The sequence below is a fragment of the Homo sapiens genome, chromosome 12, assembly GCF_000001405.40.
Source record: "Homo sapiens chromosome 12, GRCh38.p14 Primary Assembly".
Lineage (NCBI taxonomy): Eukaryota > Metazoa > Chordata > Mammalia > Primates > Hominidae > Homo > Homo sapiens.
Window position 1 is genome coordinate 31445640 of NC_000012.12, and position 18531 is coordinate 31464170.

At 40.9% G+C, this 18531-nt stretch overlaps 1 protein-coding gene and 1 non-coding gene across 28 annotated transcripts in view; one reads left to right on the forward strand and one right to left on the reverse strand.

Annotated features, from left to right (window-relative positions):
- DENND5B (DENN domain containing 5B) overlaps positions 1–18531 on the reverse strand; it is a 208911-nt gene that overhangs the window by 63414 nt on the left and 126966 nt on the right. For 20 of the 27 annotated variants that reach the window (XM_047428429.1, XM_047428424.1, XM_047428421.1 and 17 more), the window contains 3 exons: positions 14555–14742; positions 6301–6837; positions 1899–2130 (listed from right to left, as the gene is read on the reverse strand). In XM_047428429.1, the coding sequence (XP_047284385.1) occupies positions 1899–2130; positions 6301–6837; positions 14555–14742 (957 nt within the window). Of the gene's footprint in view, positions 1–1898; positions 2131–5660; positions 6838–14554; positions 14743–18531 lie in introns of those variants that run through there. The other 7 variants (XM_047428430.1, XM_047428428.1, XM_047428425.1 and 4 more) reach the window with 2 other exon arrangements.
- Positions 4531–4634, forward strand: LOC124903111 (small nucleolar RNA U13). Its single transcript, XR_007063647.1, has one exon. It is a non-coding gene; the product is annotated as a small nucleolar RNA U13 (small nucleolar RNA).

Below are 18531 nucleotides of genomic sequence, written 5' to 3' on the forward strand. Positions count from 1 at the left end.
GGTTGCAGTGAGCCGAGATGGCACCACTGCACTCCAGCCTGAGTGACAGCGAGATTCTGTTTCAAAAAAAAAAAGGGTGCTGGGCTCACACCTGTAATCCCAGCACTTTAGGAAACTGAAGCAGGTGGATCACTTAAGCCCAGGAGTTCAAGACCAACCAAGGTAAGATAATAACCTGAGCAACATGGTGAAACCCTGTCTCTACAAAAAATACAAAAAATTACCCGAGGGTGGTGGCACATGCCTATAGTACCAGTTCCCCAGGAGGCTGTGGTAGGAACATCACCTGAGCCCAGGAAGTTGAGGCTGCAGTGAGCCATGATGGCACCACTGCACTCCAGCCTAGGCAACAAGTGAGACCCTGTCTCAAAAGAAAAAAAAAAAAATTCGTGAACACCTGGCATGATGACTGACATAGTAAATACTCATGTTGGCTATTAATATGATTATTTATTTAATGGACTATATTACACTCCTAGACAAGACTGGCTAAGACTCAGATTTAACTGCTTTCTTTTTATTTTTTTGAGACGGAGTCTTGCTCTGTTGCCCAGGCGGGAGTGCAGTGGTGCCACATTGGCTCACTGCAACCTCCGCCTCCCGGGTTCAAGTGATTCTTCTATGTCAGCCTCCCTAGTAGCTGGGATTACAGGCGCATGACACCACACCTGGCTAATTTTTGTATTTTTAGTAGAGATGGGGTTTCGCCATGTCGGCCAGGCTGGTCTTGAACTCCTGACCTCAAGTGATCCGCTGGCCTTGGCCTTCCAAAGTGCTGGGATTAAAAGTGTGAACCATCACGCCCAGCCTGAGTCAGATTTAATTTCAATAAGTGAAGCTATTATAATTAATGGCACTACTAAAGCAAAGATACTGTTTTAGTATGTAAATTAAGCAGAATCTAAGATTTACTGTTTTAAATAAATATCCTTTCTTGGATATAGAGAAGAGGTGAGAAGTAAAAATGAAACATAAGGCCGGGCGCAGTGGCTCACGCCTGTAATCCCAGCACTTTGGGAGGCCGAGGTGGGCGATCACGAGGTCGGGAGATCGACACCATCCTGGCTAACACAGTGAAACCCCGTCTCTACTGAAAATTCAAAAAATTAGCCGGGTGTGGTGGTGGGCGCCTATAGTCCCAGCTACTCGGGGCAGGAGAATGGCGTGAACCCGGGAGGTGGCGCTTGCAGTGAGCCAAGATGGCGCCACTGCACTCCAGCCTGGGCGACAGAGTGAGACTCCGCCTCAAAAAAAAAAAAAAGAAAAAGAAAAAGAAAAAGAAACATAAGTAGCAAGACAGAAATTAACATTTTTTCCATTTAGGCAATAAAGAGAATAAAACAAAAGTCAGGCTGGACATGGTGGCTCACACCTGTAATCCCAGCACTTTGGGAGGCTGAGGAGGGCAGATCACCTGAGGTCAGCAGTTCAAGACCAGCCTGGCCAACATGGTGAAATCCCAACTCTATAAAAATACAAAAATTAGTCAGGCGTGATGGTGCGTGCCTGTAATCCCAGCTAATTGGGAGGCAGAGGCAGGAGAAACATTTGAACCCAGGAGGCGGAGGTTGCAGTGAGTCAAGATTGCGCCACTGCACTCTAGCCTGGGTGACAGAGTGAGAACCATCTCAAAAACAAAAACAAAAACAAAAATCATAGCAACCTTCCAGACATACTTGATTCAATTTATTATTGTTTTTCCTCTTCTAAGAGAAGAGGAACGTCAAGTAGGAGTAGGACTCAGAAAGAAAAATTTACAAAGCATTTCGTGATATAGTACCAGGATTAGCCATGAAGTCTAAAACTGAAAATTAATTTTGTTGTACGTAAGGCCAGCAATTTGTGGGAAAAAAGCGATAATGGATTTTAATTTAATTTAAAAGGCATGGCAAATGTACCTGCTTCTTTTAAAGTGCTGCATTTCTGATATATAGATGTCCGCAAGGTGGGTGCCCTTACATTATACAGCCTTATCTTATCAATCCGAGTGTCAAAGACCCGAAGCAAAGGATCTTTCTCTTCCCACTGAGACATAATTTTATTATCAATAAAGGTGGCAAACATCTGTGTTTCAATGAAGCGTGAAAGAAATGGCAGGTAAGGCTCAGGCTGGTCAGACAGAAAGGAAGCCTGTAATGAGATAATTAGGAAATTATTAGTGCAAAGAGACCATCTCAACACTACATGATAAGCCTGAAAATTATGTTAACTCAGGACATTCCTTTTTTAAATCTTATAAAACTGACACTTGAAATTCAAAAATCCTTAAAAATCCACTTTTCTTTCCATTTTCCTAAATTTAGAGAATGTACGTCACTTAGGTCTTTAGCACTGATCTTACCTTACAAAATTTACATTCTGATCCTTATGACCATTATGTAGCAAAGAGGGCATCAGTAACGAAAGATGGCAGATAAGTTGCTATACAATTGTCAATCATCCACTTCACTTGCAGTTAAAAATTTTTATCCCTTTCCCCAATGAGTTGTAATTTCGTTTTTTTTTTTTCTTTGAGATGGAGTCTCGCTCTGTCGCCCAGGCTGGAGTGCAGTGGCACGATCTCGGCTCACTGCAAGCTCCCGCCTCCCGGGTTCATGCCATTCTCCTGCCTCAGCCTCCTGAGTAGCTGGGACTACAGGCGCCTGCCACCACGCCCGGCTAATTTTTTTGAATTTTTAGTAGAGACGGGGTTTCACCATGTTAGCCAAGATGGTCTCGATCTCCTGACCTCATGCTCCGCCCGCCTCGGCCTCCCAAAGTGCTGGGATTACAGGCGTGAGCCACCGCGCCCAGCTACAAGTTGTAATTCCTTCTGTTCTCTATTCCTAGCCTATGAAATATACTTTCAAGCCACAAGGTAGTGAGATGATTAACTGATACAATAAACACATCAGCATTAATCTTAAAAAAGACATGGAATTTATGCTTATGGGTGAAGTTCTTTTGTTCTTCTTTAAGTGAATGCTTTTCTAGACTCTTTAACTCTGTGAGAAATCAATAGATGAGTGTTAAGCCAAGGAAAAATTCCTTCCACACCTGTGCTGACACAACAGTCTCAGCCTTAACAACTAAAAAAGGCACTGCCTGGAAGCTGGGCATGGTGGTGGCCACCTACAGTCCCAGCCACTAGGGAGGCTGAAGCCGGAGGATCCTGTGAGCCCAGGAGTTTGAGGCCAGCCTAAAGAAACATAGTGAAACCGCATTTCCAAAAAAACAAACAAACAAAAACAAATCATTGCCTGAAAAACCATCAGAAGCAAGCCTTTGGAGAACGAGTACAATAAGCTGTACACCTTTCCTGTTACTAGCCTGTCTGATGCATGGGATGGTTCAGTACATCGTAATCAGTTCCTAATTAAAAGTGTCATTTTTTTTTCTGTTGTTCTTCCATGCTCATGTGTGTACAGGGATTCTACATTCAATGCAGTACTAAAATCTGGAAGTAAATTTGGAAGTAAATTCCTATTTTGGTTGCTGGGTTGGTTTTTATTTTTGCATGGCAGAAGCCAGAAGGGGAAAGGGGAAAGAGGAAAGAGAAATAAGTTCTGACATAAGGTGACTTTTAAAAATACTCATCAGCTTCTTGCTAGCATATTTACTTTCATTCTGAAATTTAGGAGGTCTTCTTAAAATTTCCTTATAGAAATCCACTTATTCACTTTAAGTAGTTCCATAGTTCAGGTGTATATACATAAATCCAAATAACCACAGAAAGATTCACAGTAGTCTAGAAATCAGTTCACCTTCACCAATAAACATCTTACTTTTCATACATCAAATAGCCTTTTTTTAAAAAAAGTGGGCCAAAGATCTGGCTTTTGATATTCAGACCCTCATAAACTATAAAATTTTAGGTCAACAACGATTTGGCTTGTACGACTAGTATGTCCTGCAGATTTTCCTAGTGAAAGGTACTTATAAGCCTTCTGGAATCCAACAGAAAATTTTCATTTCTTTAGGGGTTATGTAAAAAGAATTCCATTTATATAGTTTGAGGCTACATAAAGATTAAGAAGGAAGGAAGTATCAGGGCTTGATTTAGGTAAGAATTTGAATTGTCCCAAGGATAAACCATGGATATACACAGATTAGTTTTTTTTTTTTTTTTTTGAGACAGAGTCTCGCTGTCGCCCAGGCTGGCGTCCAGTGGCGTGATCTCAGCTCACTGCCAAGCTCCACCTCCCGGGTTCATGCCATTCTTCTGCCTCAGCCTCCCAAGTAGCTGGGACTATAGGTGCCTGCCACCACGCCCGGCTAATTTTTTTGTATTTTTAGTAGAGACGAGGTTTCACCATGTTAGCCAGGATGGTCTCGATCTCCTGACCTTGTGATTCGCCCGCCTCAGCCTCCCAAAGTGTTGGGATTACAGGCGTGAGCCACTGTGCCCAGCCCACAGATTAGTTCTAAGCTAGATAGGAAAAAGTATGGAAAATGGTTAAGACTAACGAAAAAGGAACCTAAGGGCATACACTTAAAGAAGTGAAGTCTTGTTAATATTAAAGAAGTTTTCTCAAACGTAAGTGCATCAGGATGCTTTTGTAGTTCATAAATGTAATAATTGGCTTTTCATGCTCATGTGTGAGATGTACCTTCCTCAAACTTTGTTACCATGTTAGAACATTACCTGTCTGATGTGGGGAAAAACAAAGAACACCAGAACGTAACTGTTCAACATACAATATCATCCTCCAACAGAAAAAATATCTGATGAAGTAAAAAAATTATCTTTTGTTTTTTTGAGACAGGGTCTCACTCGCTAGCCCAAGCTGGAGTGCAGTGGCATCATCTTGGCTCACTGCAGCCTCAACTTCTGAAGCTCAAGTGATCTCACCTCAGCCTCCAGAGTCATTGGGACCAGAGGAGCACACCACCATGCCCGGCTAATTTTAAAATTTTTTGTAGAGATGAGTTCTCACTATGTTGCCTAGGCTGGTCTCACACTCCTGGCCTCAAATGATCCTCCAGCCTCAACCTCCTAGTGTTGGGATTACAAGTGTGAGCCACCATGCCCAGCCACTATGTACCTTTACGAAAATTTTTCATTATTTCCAAAAATTCTCCAGTACTGTAGATTAGCCTCTTGGAATGTATCAGCCCCTTTAGAAGGCCTTTCATGACCCAAAGAGGCCACTTAGTGAAACCCATGATACATTCTAATAGCAGTATTATACCTCAGCAATCACAGCAGTAAAGAACTAAACTGTACCCTGGTGACCTAAAAGAGTTACTATACAACCCTAAGTGCATCTGTCTGAAAAATAAAATCTGGGAGATAGGTGAAAAAAAACTGGCAGAAGAATCCAGTACCCCTTAGAAATCACAGGACAAGGAAAGCTGGTATATTTTCTGACTTCTCTTTCCAAAATCTTTGGAATTGTTTTACACTTACAGCCATAAAACTTAATTTAGTCACTCTTTTTCTCCTTTTATCTTAAAATGAGATAGAGAAATTTGGCTTCTGAAACCAAACTGTTAACTTTACATGGACAAGTTGTGACTTCCTGATAGGATAAAGACTAAATAAATGATTTCTAGACTAAATAAATAGATTTCTTCAAAAAGGAGTAGGCTTATTTAACCATACTTGATCATAAAGTAAGAGTAAATAAAACTGTTATAAGGTTAAACAGTATTAACAGATTTGGAAAACCTGCAAAATGTAAGAGTTTCTATAAATTTTTATTTATTTATTTATTTTTTTTGAGATGGAGTCTCTCTCTGTTGCCCAGGCCGGAGTACAGTGGCGCTATCTTGGCTCACTGCAACCTCTGCCTCCCGGGTTCAAGCGATTCTCCTGCCTCAGCCTCCTGAGTAGCTGGGACTACAGGTGTGCGCCACCACGCCCAGCTAATTTTTTGTATTTTTCGTAGAGACGGGGTTTCACCATATTGGCCAGGCTGGTCTCAAACTCCTGACCTTGTGATCCGTCCGCCTCGGCCTCCCAAAGTTCTGGGATTACAGGCATGAGCCACCGTGCCCGGCCTGAGTTTCTATAATTTAAGCATCTTTAAGGTAAAGAAAAATTGAAAATGAGATTACAGGCAATTTAACGCACAATTTAATGACCAGTTCAATGAGCTGGTTTATTTGCTTGTAAAATTATTTTATCTAATGTAAAAATACTTGGTAAAGAAAAGTTCTTAATGGGGCTGGAAGACAAAAAGTCTGCATTTAAAAAAGGTTAACAAAATCAATAATATATGGGTAAGCATAGGCACAGAAGAATAAAAAATTTAAAAATGTTAAAATCAATAATAAAGCCACTAATAACCACAAAAGGAAAACTATGGTTCTTTTTACTTTGTCAAAGTTCTGCATCTGTTCCCGGTTGGTCAGCCAGGATTCCATGTCCTGGGCAGTCTGAATGACAAATGCTTCGTAATCTGCAAACATCTGTGTAAAACGGTTAGCAAAGACCTCTCGGAGCTGTACATTGAGCTGGTAGTCCCTTAGTTCTGCCTCTTCACAATGCAGTTTTAAATCCTTGTCTTTTTCACCCAGAGAAGCAGAGAGGTCCATTTTTTCCACAGCCACACCAGTACGCTTGGCCAGAGCCTGCAAGCGGGCTATGGTTTCATTGCCCTTCAGTAACTCATACATGCTGATGTTATTAGTACAGACATTGCCGTTCTTTTTGTCATTGACCAAGTCTTTCAGAACCATATTCTTCAGTTTGCTGGTACTCTCACTGCAATGTAGGCTGCCCTCAGGAGGGATCCCAAATTGAACAAGAACCTCAGAGAGTTCTTGGATAAAATCCACTTTATTGGGGAACTGTGGAAATTCTTCAGGCAACTCAATAAAATGGTTGTCAATGTCCACAAAACACAAATTAGCCTGAAAGAGAAAAATGAAATACAAAGGTTTAAAATAAAGGAATTGTATGTGCTAACATATTCTTGCCAGCCAGCCACAGTGGCTCACACATAATCCCAGCACTTTGGGAGGCCAAAGCAAAAGGATCGCTTGAGCCCAGGGGTTCGAGACAAGACTGGGAAACACGGCAAGATTCTGTTTCTACAAAAAGAAAAAAAAATTCTTGCCAACTATTACAAACAAAAGCATAGATTATGGTGCCTTTTATGTTAATCTTTGCAAGGTTTAGAATTTCTTATTCTTTAAAAATAACCTCTTTTTCCATCATTTTTCCCTATGTGAGTTTTTTATACCATACTTAATATATATGAATAATTTTCTCTGGGTCTCAGCAATATATTATAATCTGAATATGATTTTCTAACAATTGGCATCCATTTAGGCATTCCTATGTGGGTAAGCGTGCCCAGACTCATAAGACCTTACAAATACATGATATTAGGTAAAATGCTCACTGTATGCACTTGAACTTTCTTTGCCACTCCACTGCTCTAACATCTGTAATGCAGAATTGACAATAATCACCAAAAACCAGCAGCTGTAGTATCTCCCAATAGGATGAAACTGGCAAAATCAATCCAATTCACAGATAATCCACAAATTTTAACTTTACTCAAAATTCACTAAACCTCCTAGAGCAAAACCATTTCAGAAGTCATTATACCTAATGCAGGAGGCAGAGAGAGGTGGTAGAGGCAAGTGCATATGTAACTATGCACTTGATTAACCTTTGAATAATTAAGAGTTCACACAAGATATTTTTGAGTTGAGTAGAAGAGGTGACAGAAATCAGAAGAAATGTTTGAGTTTGTTTACACTCTACATTTGGAATTTATTTTGAATAAATATTTTAAATATTTTTCAAGTAGATATAGAAAATTCAAGAGGCCAAGCATATGTATAAAGTTCTGATTATCCCTCAGGTATCTGTAGTAGACTTCAAACAGTATTTAACCTCTACTGTCCATACTCTCTTAATCAGGACAAGGTTGTTAGTTAAAAAGAAGGTTGTGTTTCTAGATTGGGGGGTGGAGTGCCAAAAGTGTAGCCCATCACATAAAAATAATATTGATTACATCAATGGTTGAACATAAGACATGGGGTGGAAGTTAATAAACAAAATAGGAAGCTTCACTATGTGTTTCTCCCTGGCTCCCCCACCCCCAGGCACCAAGGGGAAAATTCACACTGCTCTCTGATCCTAGACGGCAAAGTAAGGGGAAAGGGGAAAGCAACCAGTCGGGTCTTTGTTTTTCTCTTTTGATCCTTGCTCTTCATGTTAGATACCAATTAGCAAGCAGCATAGTGAAACTCTAAATTAAGCTCAATAAAAACTCAAAATGAGGCCTAGCATGGTGCCTCATGCCTGTAATTCCAGCACTTTGGGAGGCTGAGGCGGGAGGATGACTTGAGGTCAGGAGTTCAAGACCAGTCTGGCCAACATGGTGAAACTCTGTCTCTACTAAAAATATAAAAATTAGCTGGGCATGGTGGCATGCACCTGTAATCCCAGCTACTCGGGAGGCTAAGGCAGGATAATCACTTGACCTCAGGAGGCAGAGGTTGCAGTGAGCTAAGATCGTGCCACTGCACTCCAGCCTGGGCAAAACACAGCGAGACTTTGGCCAAAAAAAAAAAAAAAAAAATTTCGGTTTCCCTCCTTTCAAAGCCAGATGATCAACAATGATTCCTAAAGCCTGATGTAATCTTTGAATCCAGTCTTTTAATTTTGCAGATGAAGAAACCGAGGCCCAAGAAATTAGGTGACTTCCTGGCACCTGTTCCAAATGTGCACCCTCAAACAGCCTGGTGGCTTATGGCCTTTCCCTGCTATTTTTCCTCACCTCCAATGTCAGCAGTTTTCTCTAAATAAATAAAGAGCTGAAATGTCGCATCTTGCTGAAGACAGTAGCACTGCCTACACCATTCTTTTCTTTTCTTTTTTTGAGATGTAGTCTTGCTCTGTCACCCAGGCTGGAGTGTAGTGGTGCGATCTCAGCTCACTGCAAACTCTGCCTCCTGGGTTCGAGCAATTGTCTGCCTCAGCCTCCCGCGTAGCTGGGATTACAGGTGTCCACCACCATGCCTGGGTAATTTTTTTATATTCTTAGTAGAGATGGGGTTTCACCATCTTGGCCAGGCTGGTCTTGAACTCCTGACCTCGTAATCCACCTGCCTCAGCCTCTCACAGTGCTGGGATTATAGGTGTGAGCCACTGCGCCTGGCCGGCCTACACCATTCTTTACACTGAAAGGCTTAAATGAAGGTCACATAATTTGAATGGATGATTCAGTATCTTTTTTTTTTTTTTTTTTTTTTTTGAGATGGAGTCTTGCTCTGTTGCCCAGGCTGGAGTGCAGTGGTGCGATCTTGGCTCACTGCAACCTCTGCCTCCTGGGTTCACGCCATTCTCCTGCCTCAGCCTCCCAAGTAGCTGGGACTACAGGTGCCTGCCACCACGCCCGGCTAATTTTTTTTGTATTTTTAGCAGAGACAGGGTTTCACCGTGTTAGCCAGGATGGTCTCGATCTCCTGACCTTGTGATCCGCCCACCTTGGCGTCCCAAAGTGCTGGGATTACAGGCGTGAGCCACCGCGCCCGGCCAATTCAGTATCTTTAAAATGGAAGAAAAAATTTACTAATTTGCTAATCTAAATGTTAACCAGCAACCTCCCACCACTTAGATTTTGTACTATCACCTTCACTAATGCCTTCCTACTACCTTTTTCTATCCCTCTCCTCCTCCTATGAAAAGGGAAAATGATACATTTTCTGAAATTTTAAAGCTTATTATGGTCATGAAATCACTGCTGAGCTGAGTGTACTACAAAGTAGGAGTTCCAACACCATAGCTACTGGTCTGTCTTCATGATCCCACAAAAGTCTCCTATGTCTGCTTAAGAAGGGCCCAAGCTGGGGCTTTGATTATCTCAAAGTAGAACAGGAAATACAAACTGTGTTATGAAAATGTATTGAAGAAAACCAAAAAGCCCTTTCTCCAAAACAAACGAGAACTCTATAATAGGGCATTCTGATAAGTTGCTTCTCACTTTTAACACCATTAAATTAAAAAAAATTCAGAAGAGCTCAATAAGTATTACATGATAAAAATTTACTCAACACCTCAATCTGACATTGCTTTAGGACTAAATATTTCTACTGATCAACACTGCTCACAAGCCTTCATGATATGTAACTACTTCCTATTAAAAACAACAAAAGTGGGCTGGGCATGGTGGCTCATGCCTGTAATCCCAGCACTTTGGGAGGCCAAGGTGGGCAAATCACAAGGTCAGGAGTTTGAGATCAGCCTGACCAACATGGTGAAAGCCCGTCTCTACTAAACACAAAAAATAAGCTGGGCGTAGTGGCAGGCGCCTGTAATCCCAGCTAGTTGAGAGGTTGAGGCAGGAGAATCACTTGAACCCAGGAGGCAGAGGTTGCAGTGTGCCAAGATCATGCCACTGCACTCCAGCCCAGGCGACAGAGTGAGACTCCGTCTCAAAAACAAAACAACAACAACAACAAAAGTGGCCGGGCACAGTGGCTCATGCCTGTAATCCCAGCACTTTGGGAGCCTGAGGTGGGTGGATCACTTGAGGTCAGAAGTTCAAGACCAGCCTGGCCAACATGGTGAAACCCCATCTCTAGTGCAAATACAAAAATTAGCGAAGTGTGGTGGCGTGCACCTGTAATCCCAGCTATTTGGGAAGTTGAGGCAAAAGAATCACTTGAACCTGGCAGGTGGAGGTTGCAGTCAGCTGAGACGGCGCCACTGCACTCCAGCCTGGGCAACAGAGTGAGACTCCGTCTCAAAAAAAAAAAAAAAAAAAATTCCCTCAAAAGTAAGAAAACAAAGGCTTAAAGCTTAATCATCTCTTCTGTCATGAAACCTTCCTATACCCTTACCCTAAAGGCATTCTGATCTCCTCTGGATCTTCTCTGTTCATTCATTCCTCTTACTGACTTACTTTTTAACTTGTGTTATTGGTATTTGTAAATGACTTTTTTGAAAAGCAGAAATCACCTCTTTTTGACTTGGTGTCTCCCACTGTATTCTACACAAATAGTGTATGAGACAACTGTTTGGCAAATGAAAGAATAAGCTCTGAGGAGATGGTCATTTGGGGGAACCCTAAAACTGTAGGCCGGAGCAGGAAGTATCCACAAATGAGAGACTAATGCAGCTCTCTTCATGTTTAGTAAGTGATCTCACTTCTCAGTGTCTGAAGTTAAGCCAGCTTGAGGGTAAGCCAGAGAGAGGAGAGCATTTAAAATATTCCCTCTGGGCCAGATGCTGTGGATGATGCTGGTAATCTTTGGAAAGCCAAAGCCAGAGGATCGCTTGAGCCCAAGAGTTCAAGACCAGCCTGGGCAATGTAGTGAGACTCCATCTCTACAAATAATAATTTTAAAAAATTAGCTGGGTGTGGTGGTGTGTGCCTCTCGTCCCAGCTACTCATGAGGCTGAGGTGGGAGGATCTCCTGAGCTCAGGAGGTCAAGGCTGCAGTGAGCTGTGCCACCACATTCCTGCCTGGGTGACAGAGTGAGACCCTGTCTAAAAAATAAAATAAATTATTTCCTCAGAATCTCAGGGCAAGATATGACAAGAACAAAGTTGCAAAAGCAGCTCTGTTTCAGTTTTTCTCTTAACTTTTTGTCTACCAGTTACTGTGAAGATGAGTAAGAACAGTAGAAAGTGAGGTACATTCCATGCAATTAATCTTCAGTGCCTTCCTTCCACTCTCATTCTCTCTATCCTACTCCCTAAAAAACAGTATTACAAATGGCTACTTGTGGGTATCACTCTTAAATCATGAGGATAGCTAATTGGTGATTAATTTATAAATCTATGTAGTTATATTAGTTAGCTAGCAACTAAAATCATACCTTCTTAAAATAATCATTTTGCAAATTTGTTATTTTTGTAACTATGTTTAGAAGTCTTGTCACTATTTTTAGCCATTATTTTATTTTAGACTTTTCAGGGAAAGGTGGAGGAAAGTATTACTAGTGAGTGCATTTAAGTCATTTTTTTAAATGACTATTTTTATATCTACTTCCTCTCCAAAATTATGTGAAGCAGATTATTTCACCTCATTGTAAAATGATACCAGAACAAAGAGGCTGTTAGCCTTTTCTTATAAAACAATGATGTCCTAATTTATAGTTTCTACACAGAAGCACTGCTATTTTCTTTTCTTTTTTTTTTTTTGAGATGGAGTCTCGCTCTGTCGCCCAGGCTGGAGTGCAGTGATGCGATCTTGGCTCACTGCAAACTCCGCCTCCCGGGTTCATGCCATTCTCCTGCCTCAGCCTCCCGAGTAGCTGGGACTACAGGCGCCTGCCACCACGCCCGGCTATTTTTTTTGTATTTTTAGTAGAGACAGGGTTTCACCGTGTTATCCAGGATGGTCTCGATCTCCTCACCTCGTGATCCGCCCGCCTCAGCCTCCCAAAGTGCTGGGATTACAGGCGTGAGCCACCACGCCCAGCCGAAGCACTGCTATTTTCACAGCTAATTCAGGTTATTTCATATTATTCTACTCTATGAACAGATGAGTATACGTATTTATTAAGCAGTGTTGATCTCATTAATGAAAAATTAGAAAATCACAGACATTACTGTAGGAGCTTTCAGAATCCTTAAATTTGTTTATCTTTAGTGGATACAAACAGGCATAGAGATGGAAAGGTTTCCCAACTACAGATATATCAAGCTGCCATTTAAAAATCTCTCAACAATTGTTATGAAAAATGGAAAGACAACATACATATAAATTATCTTATAAAATATTACATGGATTAACATACAAAATAGATCAGTCACTCAACAAGAAACTAAAATATCATTAAGTCTTCAAAACAAAATGCATTTGGCTAGTCTATTTCTTTTTCCTTGAAAATTTAAAGGATTAACTTCTTGGAGCAAATAACATACTTGACTAATTTAATGAAAGCAAAAACAAGAACATTCAAGGAATAGAGAAAAGAGGTAAAACAGAGAAGAAAAACATGCACAAGCCCAAAAAGAACAATAGTCTGTATATGTCTCTTATGTGATCTGAATCATGCTATTTTCCTTTGAGCAAAAACCTTAATTTTTGTGGGGAAATATTCATTAGAATAAAAGTAAGCAGTGGATGATTATGAGAATCATTACAGGAAATAATGGCTGTGGCTTAGTGTGTTAAATTCACTTATTAAAATGAGAATCTCTATGGGAAATAAGAACAAATAAAGGTGAATCTCAGCATGAGATTCTATTAAGAAAGATGTGAATTAAATAGCTAGTGATATAATGTAATTAATCATCTTATGTTTTGTAAAAGGCTGTGGCACACTCTTATCCATATTTCATTTCAAAGACCTTACATGGTAATCCTCAGTACCATTAACAATAAGTAACAATTAGGCCAGGCACGGTGGCTCATGCCTGTAATCCCAGCATTTTGGGAGGCCGGGGCGGGCAGATCACCTGAAGATGGGAGTTTGACACCAGCCTGACCAACATGAAGAAAACCCGTCTCTACTAAAAATACAAAATTAGCTGGGCGTGGTGGTGCATGCCTGTAATCCCAGCTACTCGGGAGGACGAGGCAGGAGAATCACTTAAACCCAGGAGGCGGTGAGCCAAGATCCCGCCATTGCACTCCAGCCTGGGCAACAAGAGCGAAACTCCATCTCAAAAGAAAAGAAAAAAAAAAGTAAAAACAACACCTAGGAGGTGTTACTATTCTTACTTTATAGATCAGAAATATGCTTTCAATAATTCTTGTTTATTTATTTATTTTTGAGACGGAATCTCGCTCTGTCACCCTGGAGTGCAGTGGCACGATCTTGGCTTACTGAAACCTATACCTCTAGGGTTCAAGCGATTCTCCTGCCTCAGCCTTCCAAGTACCTGGGACTACAGGTGTGTGCCACCATGCCTGGCTAATTTTTGGTATTTTTAGTAGAGATGGGTTTCATCATGTTAGCCAGGATGGTCTGGATCTCTTGACCTTGTGATCCGCCCACCTTGGCCTCCCAAAGTGCTGGGATTACAAGCGCTTGTAATCCCACCACGCCTGGCCTATTTTTTTAAACATTTGAAAGTACAACACACAGAAAGTATAACTTTAAGGTGGCATAAAAACTAGGTGTTAGAATTTTTATCTCAACCACCAAGCCAAGCTGACATTTAGAACAAATAACTGGCCTTGTATCTGAAAACAGAGAATACTGAAGTGTTTGATATTTCCATTATCCCTAGTTTGCTGCAACATGTTACTTTTCATTTGATAGAGGTCAAAAATAAAATTCAATTGATACAATGATTTAAGGATGCTAAAACCTGGGCTGTATTGTTTAAAAACAAAATTTATAACGTGAATAAAGAAAAAAAATATGTTACTAGAATAAAGCAATGAGATCATGCTACCACTGCTCCATCTTCAGAAATTTATAGTTGTGAAAATCAGCCACTGTCTTGTTTTAAACCAGGTTTAATGACTATGTAGTAGTCATCATCAAGAGTCTGCATTCTATAGCTCAGGCTCTCCCCTAGCCATACTTGGAGATTTAGGAGAGTCAAAGAGACAGATAAAATTTTGACAAAGACAATGCAATCTAACGAAAGTCGCCTTGACCTAAATCAGCAAACAGCAAATGCTTCATCATTCATTGTAGTTTTACCTCTTGAGGAAGTTCTAGTTTAGAACGGTCAGTTCCTTCTTTTGACTGAAGGCCCATCAGATAAGGGACAGGAGCATCAAGAAAATGTAGCAGAGAAGCAGGTAGAATGGGCACATAAACATGTTGCCATTGAAATGGGAACAAAAGTGTGGTGATGCCTTCTGCCACAGTCATCAGGCGTTGATAATCTGCACAGAACAAGGAAAAAGGAAAGGGAAGAGTCCAAGTAAAAACACAATCACTTCATTAAGCTGGAAAATGTGGATCTTAAGAAAAAAATTTCTGCGTTAAAAGTAAATATTTCTTTATGATCATACAGAAAATAGGTCAGTTCTATTCCACTATAATTAAAGAATTAAATGGTTTCATTTGAATAGTTTTAAGGGGGTGTGGGTAGGTGGGAAACATCACACTCTTTGCTTCTTAAAATCATGGGTAGACGAACTTATATTCTCTTAAAGTGTGGAGGAATCAAGAACTAATAAAACTGCTCTTGGCATTTATCCCACTAAAAATGTACAAGATACAGTGTAACATTGTTATTATTTTTGAGATGGAGTCTCGCTTTGTTGCCCAAGCTGGAGTGCAATGGTGCGATCTTGGCACACTGCAACCTCCACATCTCGGATTCAAGCGATTCTCCTGCCTCAGCCTCCCAAGTAGCTGAGATTACAGGCGCCCACCACCACACCAGGCTAATTTTTGTATTTTTCGTAGAGATGGGGATTCTCCATGTTGGCCAGGGTGATCTTGAACTCTTGACCTCAAGCAATCCGCCTACCTCGGCCTCCCAAAGTGCTGGGATTACAGGCGTGAACCACCGCACCAGGCCAGTGTAACATTTTTGATCATTTTTTTATACATGAATGCTTACACAATTCCCATTTTTCTTTTTTCTTTTGTTTTGAGACAGTCTGGCCCCGTCGCCCAGGCTGGAGTGCAGTGGCATGATCTCGGCTCACTGCAACCTCCATCAGAGGCTTTTTTCTTACACAGTATATATGACTGTGGCTATAGCTTTGGTTAGCTGATTATATTTATTTTAGCCTTTATTTTGGGGGTACAAGAAGTCAAACAGATACATGCATTCATAGTTACACTTTCTATGTCTAACCCCTAGCCACAAAACTATCATATCTGGGTATTCTCGAGTTAACAGAAAATTAAGGATTAGTGTTTTTGTTATGTTTTATTTACATGAACTCACTAGTTTATCAAAATTAAAAGCTCCCCACAATAGTAAAGCAGCCTTTTAAACCACTCTGCAAAGGCTGCTTTATACTTACATATGTCCACAAGTCCGATTTAAATGTTTGGAAGTAGATATGCTTTAGAATTCAGATTTTTTAATTTAGAAAAGCAGTATGGTGCATATACCACATATATGAACTATCTAGGGCAGTATCCTATAATTAAATACATTAATATTTCTGCAGCAAACCATATATGTCCCAGTAGGACAGATAATCAAAGAATATGAATAGGGTCACTTTGGTTCAGGTCTGGTTTTGCTGATGAATGAGTTACAAAAAGAATGTTTGGTTTTCAGAATTTTTTGGATTTGTAGAATTGAGGATAATGGATTGTGGGCTTGTAATAATCCTTTCACAGAACCCACTGTGAACAAACACAGTAAAATCTTTGGGAGGAAGAATTTAGGGGAGTCTTTTTAAAAAGGTTAAGAAAATGATCAGATGTTACTTGAGTCACATCAACTCAAAGACCTGACCAAGCATAAACAGGATGTTTTCCATTTAAATTTTTTGTGTCATTTTATAATTTTAAATGACTACCTTTTTGGTAATGAATCATCAGTTATCCACAGCCCAAGTTTACTTAAAATTTTCCTTATTTGATTCATAAAGATTCAAATTTTAGGTGAAAATCTGTTTATAGGAATAACTTCTAGAACAAACACCAGGTGGCCTAAAAGGTAGGGGTCAGTCATACGAGCACAAAGAGCTAACCTAATTACCTGGGGTGGATACACACATTTTACAGCCAAGGCCCACTGAAGAAGCTAGGCTGAGACAGCTGGTACTCTCTGTGCAGGTGAGGCGGGTAGTAGAGGAGATCAGAAAATCAGTTCCTACCACTCTGCTAGGATAATCAGGCAGATGTTTGAACTGTAGGCAATATGGGTCTTTTATCCCAGGGGCGGGGGCGGGGTGAGGATGAAAAGCTGACCTGAAACCCCTGAGGTCGGCTGGATGGCCCCTAGAAGTAGAAACTGTGCCCTAATCAGAACTAATTGAAGTTCTGCACTATCACAGGACTCCATTATGGCACTTGGCCCCCGTACTGTCTCTCCTCTCTGTGGGTTTCCTAAGGACAGAGTGGCATCCACTTTCTCTGATTTTACCCATAAAGCATAGGGCCCACTTCACACCCAGTGCTGACTAAAATTTACTGATAACTACTAAATGTTATGTTTTTTTTCCTCTTAAGTTCAACAGAATCCTAACAAAATACAAAAAAAGGCCGGGCAGGCACAGTGGCTTATGCCTGTGATCCCAGTACTTTGGGAGACCGAGGTGGGTGGATTACCTGAGGTCAGAAGTTAGAGGCCAGTCTGGCCAACATGGTGAAACCCCATTTCTACTAAAAATACAAAAATTAGCAGGGCATGGTGGCAGGCACCTGTAATCCCAGTTACTTGGGAGGCTAAGGCAGGAGAATTGCTTGAACCCAGGAGGCGGAGGTTGCAGTGAGCCGGGATTGCACTACTGCACTCCAGCCTGGGCAACAGTGAGACTCCGTCTCAGAAAAAAAAACAAAAAACAAAAAGCCAAGCACAGTGGCTCAAGACCTGCAATCCCAGCACTTTGGGAGGCCAAGGCAGGAGAATCACCTGAGGCCAGGAGTTCAAGACTAGCCCGCCCATCATGGCAAAACCCTGTCTCTAGTAAAAATATAAAAATTAGGCATAGTGGCACATGCCTGTAATCTCAGCTACTTGGGAGGCTGAGGTACAAGAATCACTTGAACCCAGGAGGCAGAGGTTGCAGTGAGCTGCGATCGTACCACTGCACTCCAGGCCTGGGTGACAGAGTGAGATTCTGTCTCAAAAAAACAAAAAACAAACAAACAAAAAACCCAACAACAACAACAAAAACTCACCAGGAGTAGGCAGAGACAGTAATTTACAGTTATAGACTATGAAGACCAAATCCAGAGAAATCTCCTTAGATTCTGCTCTGTGGCCATCATTTCAACCAAGGATTGGGGCCTTTTATATTCTTGTAACCTCAGTATCTACCACAGTATCTGACATATAATAGAGGCTAAAACAATATTTTTGAACGAATAGATGATGATGGGATAAGAATATATATAATTTTGCTAGATATCTATAACTTAAAAAGACATGCTTAGATTTTATTCCATCCATGTGTTGTGAGTGTTCTATGTCTATTCTTCTTTCCAGTTCTGTATTCTCTTCAAGACTGGTTGAAGTACCACACACATTATTAATTTTTTTTTTGAGATCGAGTTTTCACTCTTGCTGCCCAGGCTGGAGCGCAATGGCTCAATCTTGGATCACTGCAACCTCCACTTCCTGGGTTCAAGCGATTCTCCTGCCTCACTCAGCCTCCTGAGTAGCTGGGATTACAGGCACACGCCACCACACCTGGCTAATTTTTTTGGATTTTTAGTAGAGATGGGGTTTCACCATGTTGGCCGGGCTGGTCTCGAACTCCTGACCTCAGGTGATCCACACGCCTTTGCCTCCCAAAGTGCTAAGATTACAGGCGTGAGCCACTGTGCCCAGCCCACACGCTTTTTAATAATGCAATTACTCAGCAGAAATAAGACAATTCTTTTTAACTGAATCAAGAAATAAAAGGCAGAGTTTTCTTCTTTAAGCATTTTTTTTAAACTTAAATATTTTAGGAAAGTCTTTTTATAATTGATACTCAAAGTGATGAATGTATAAAAGAAGTTATTTTAATATTTAAGACAGGCCTCAGCAAGGC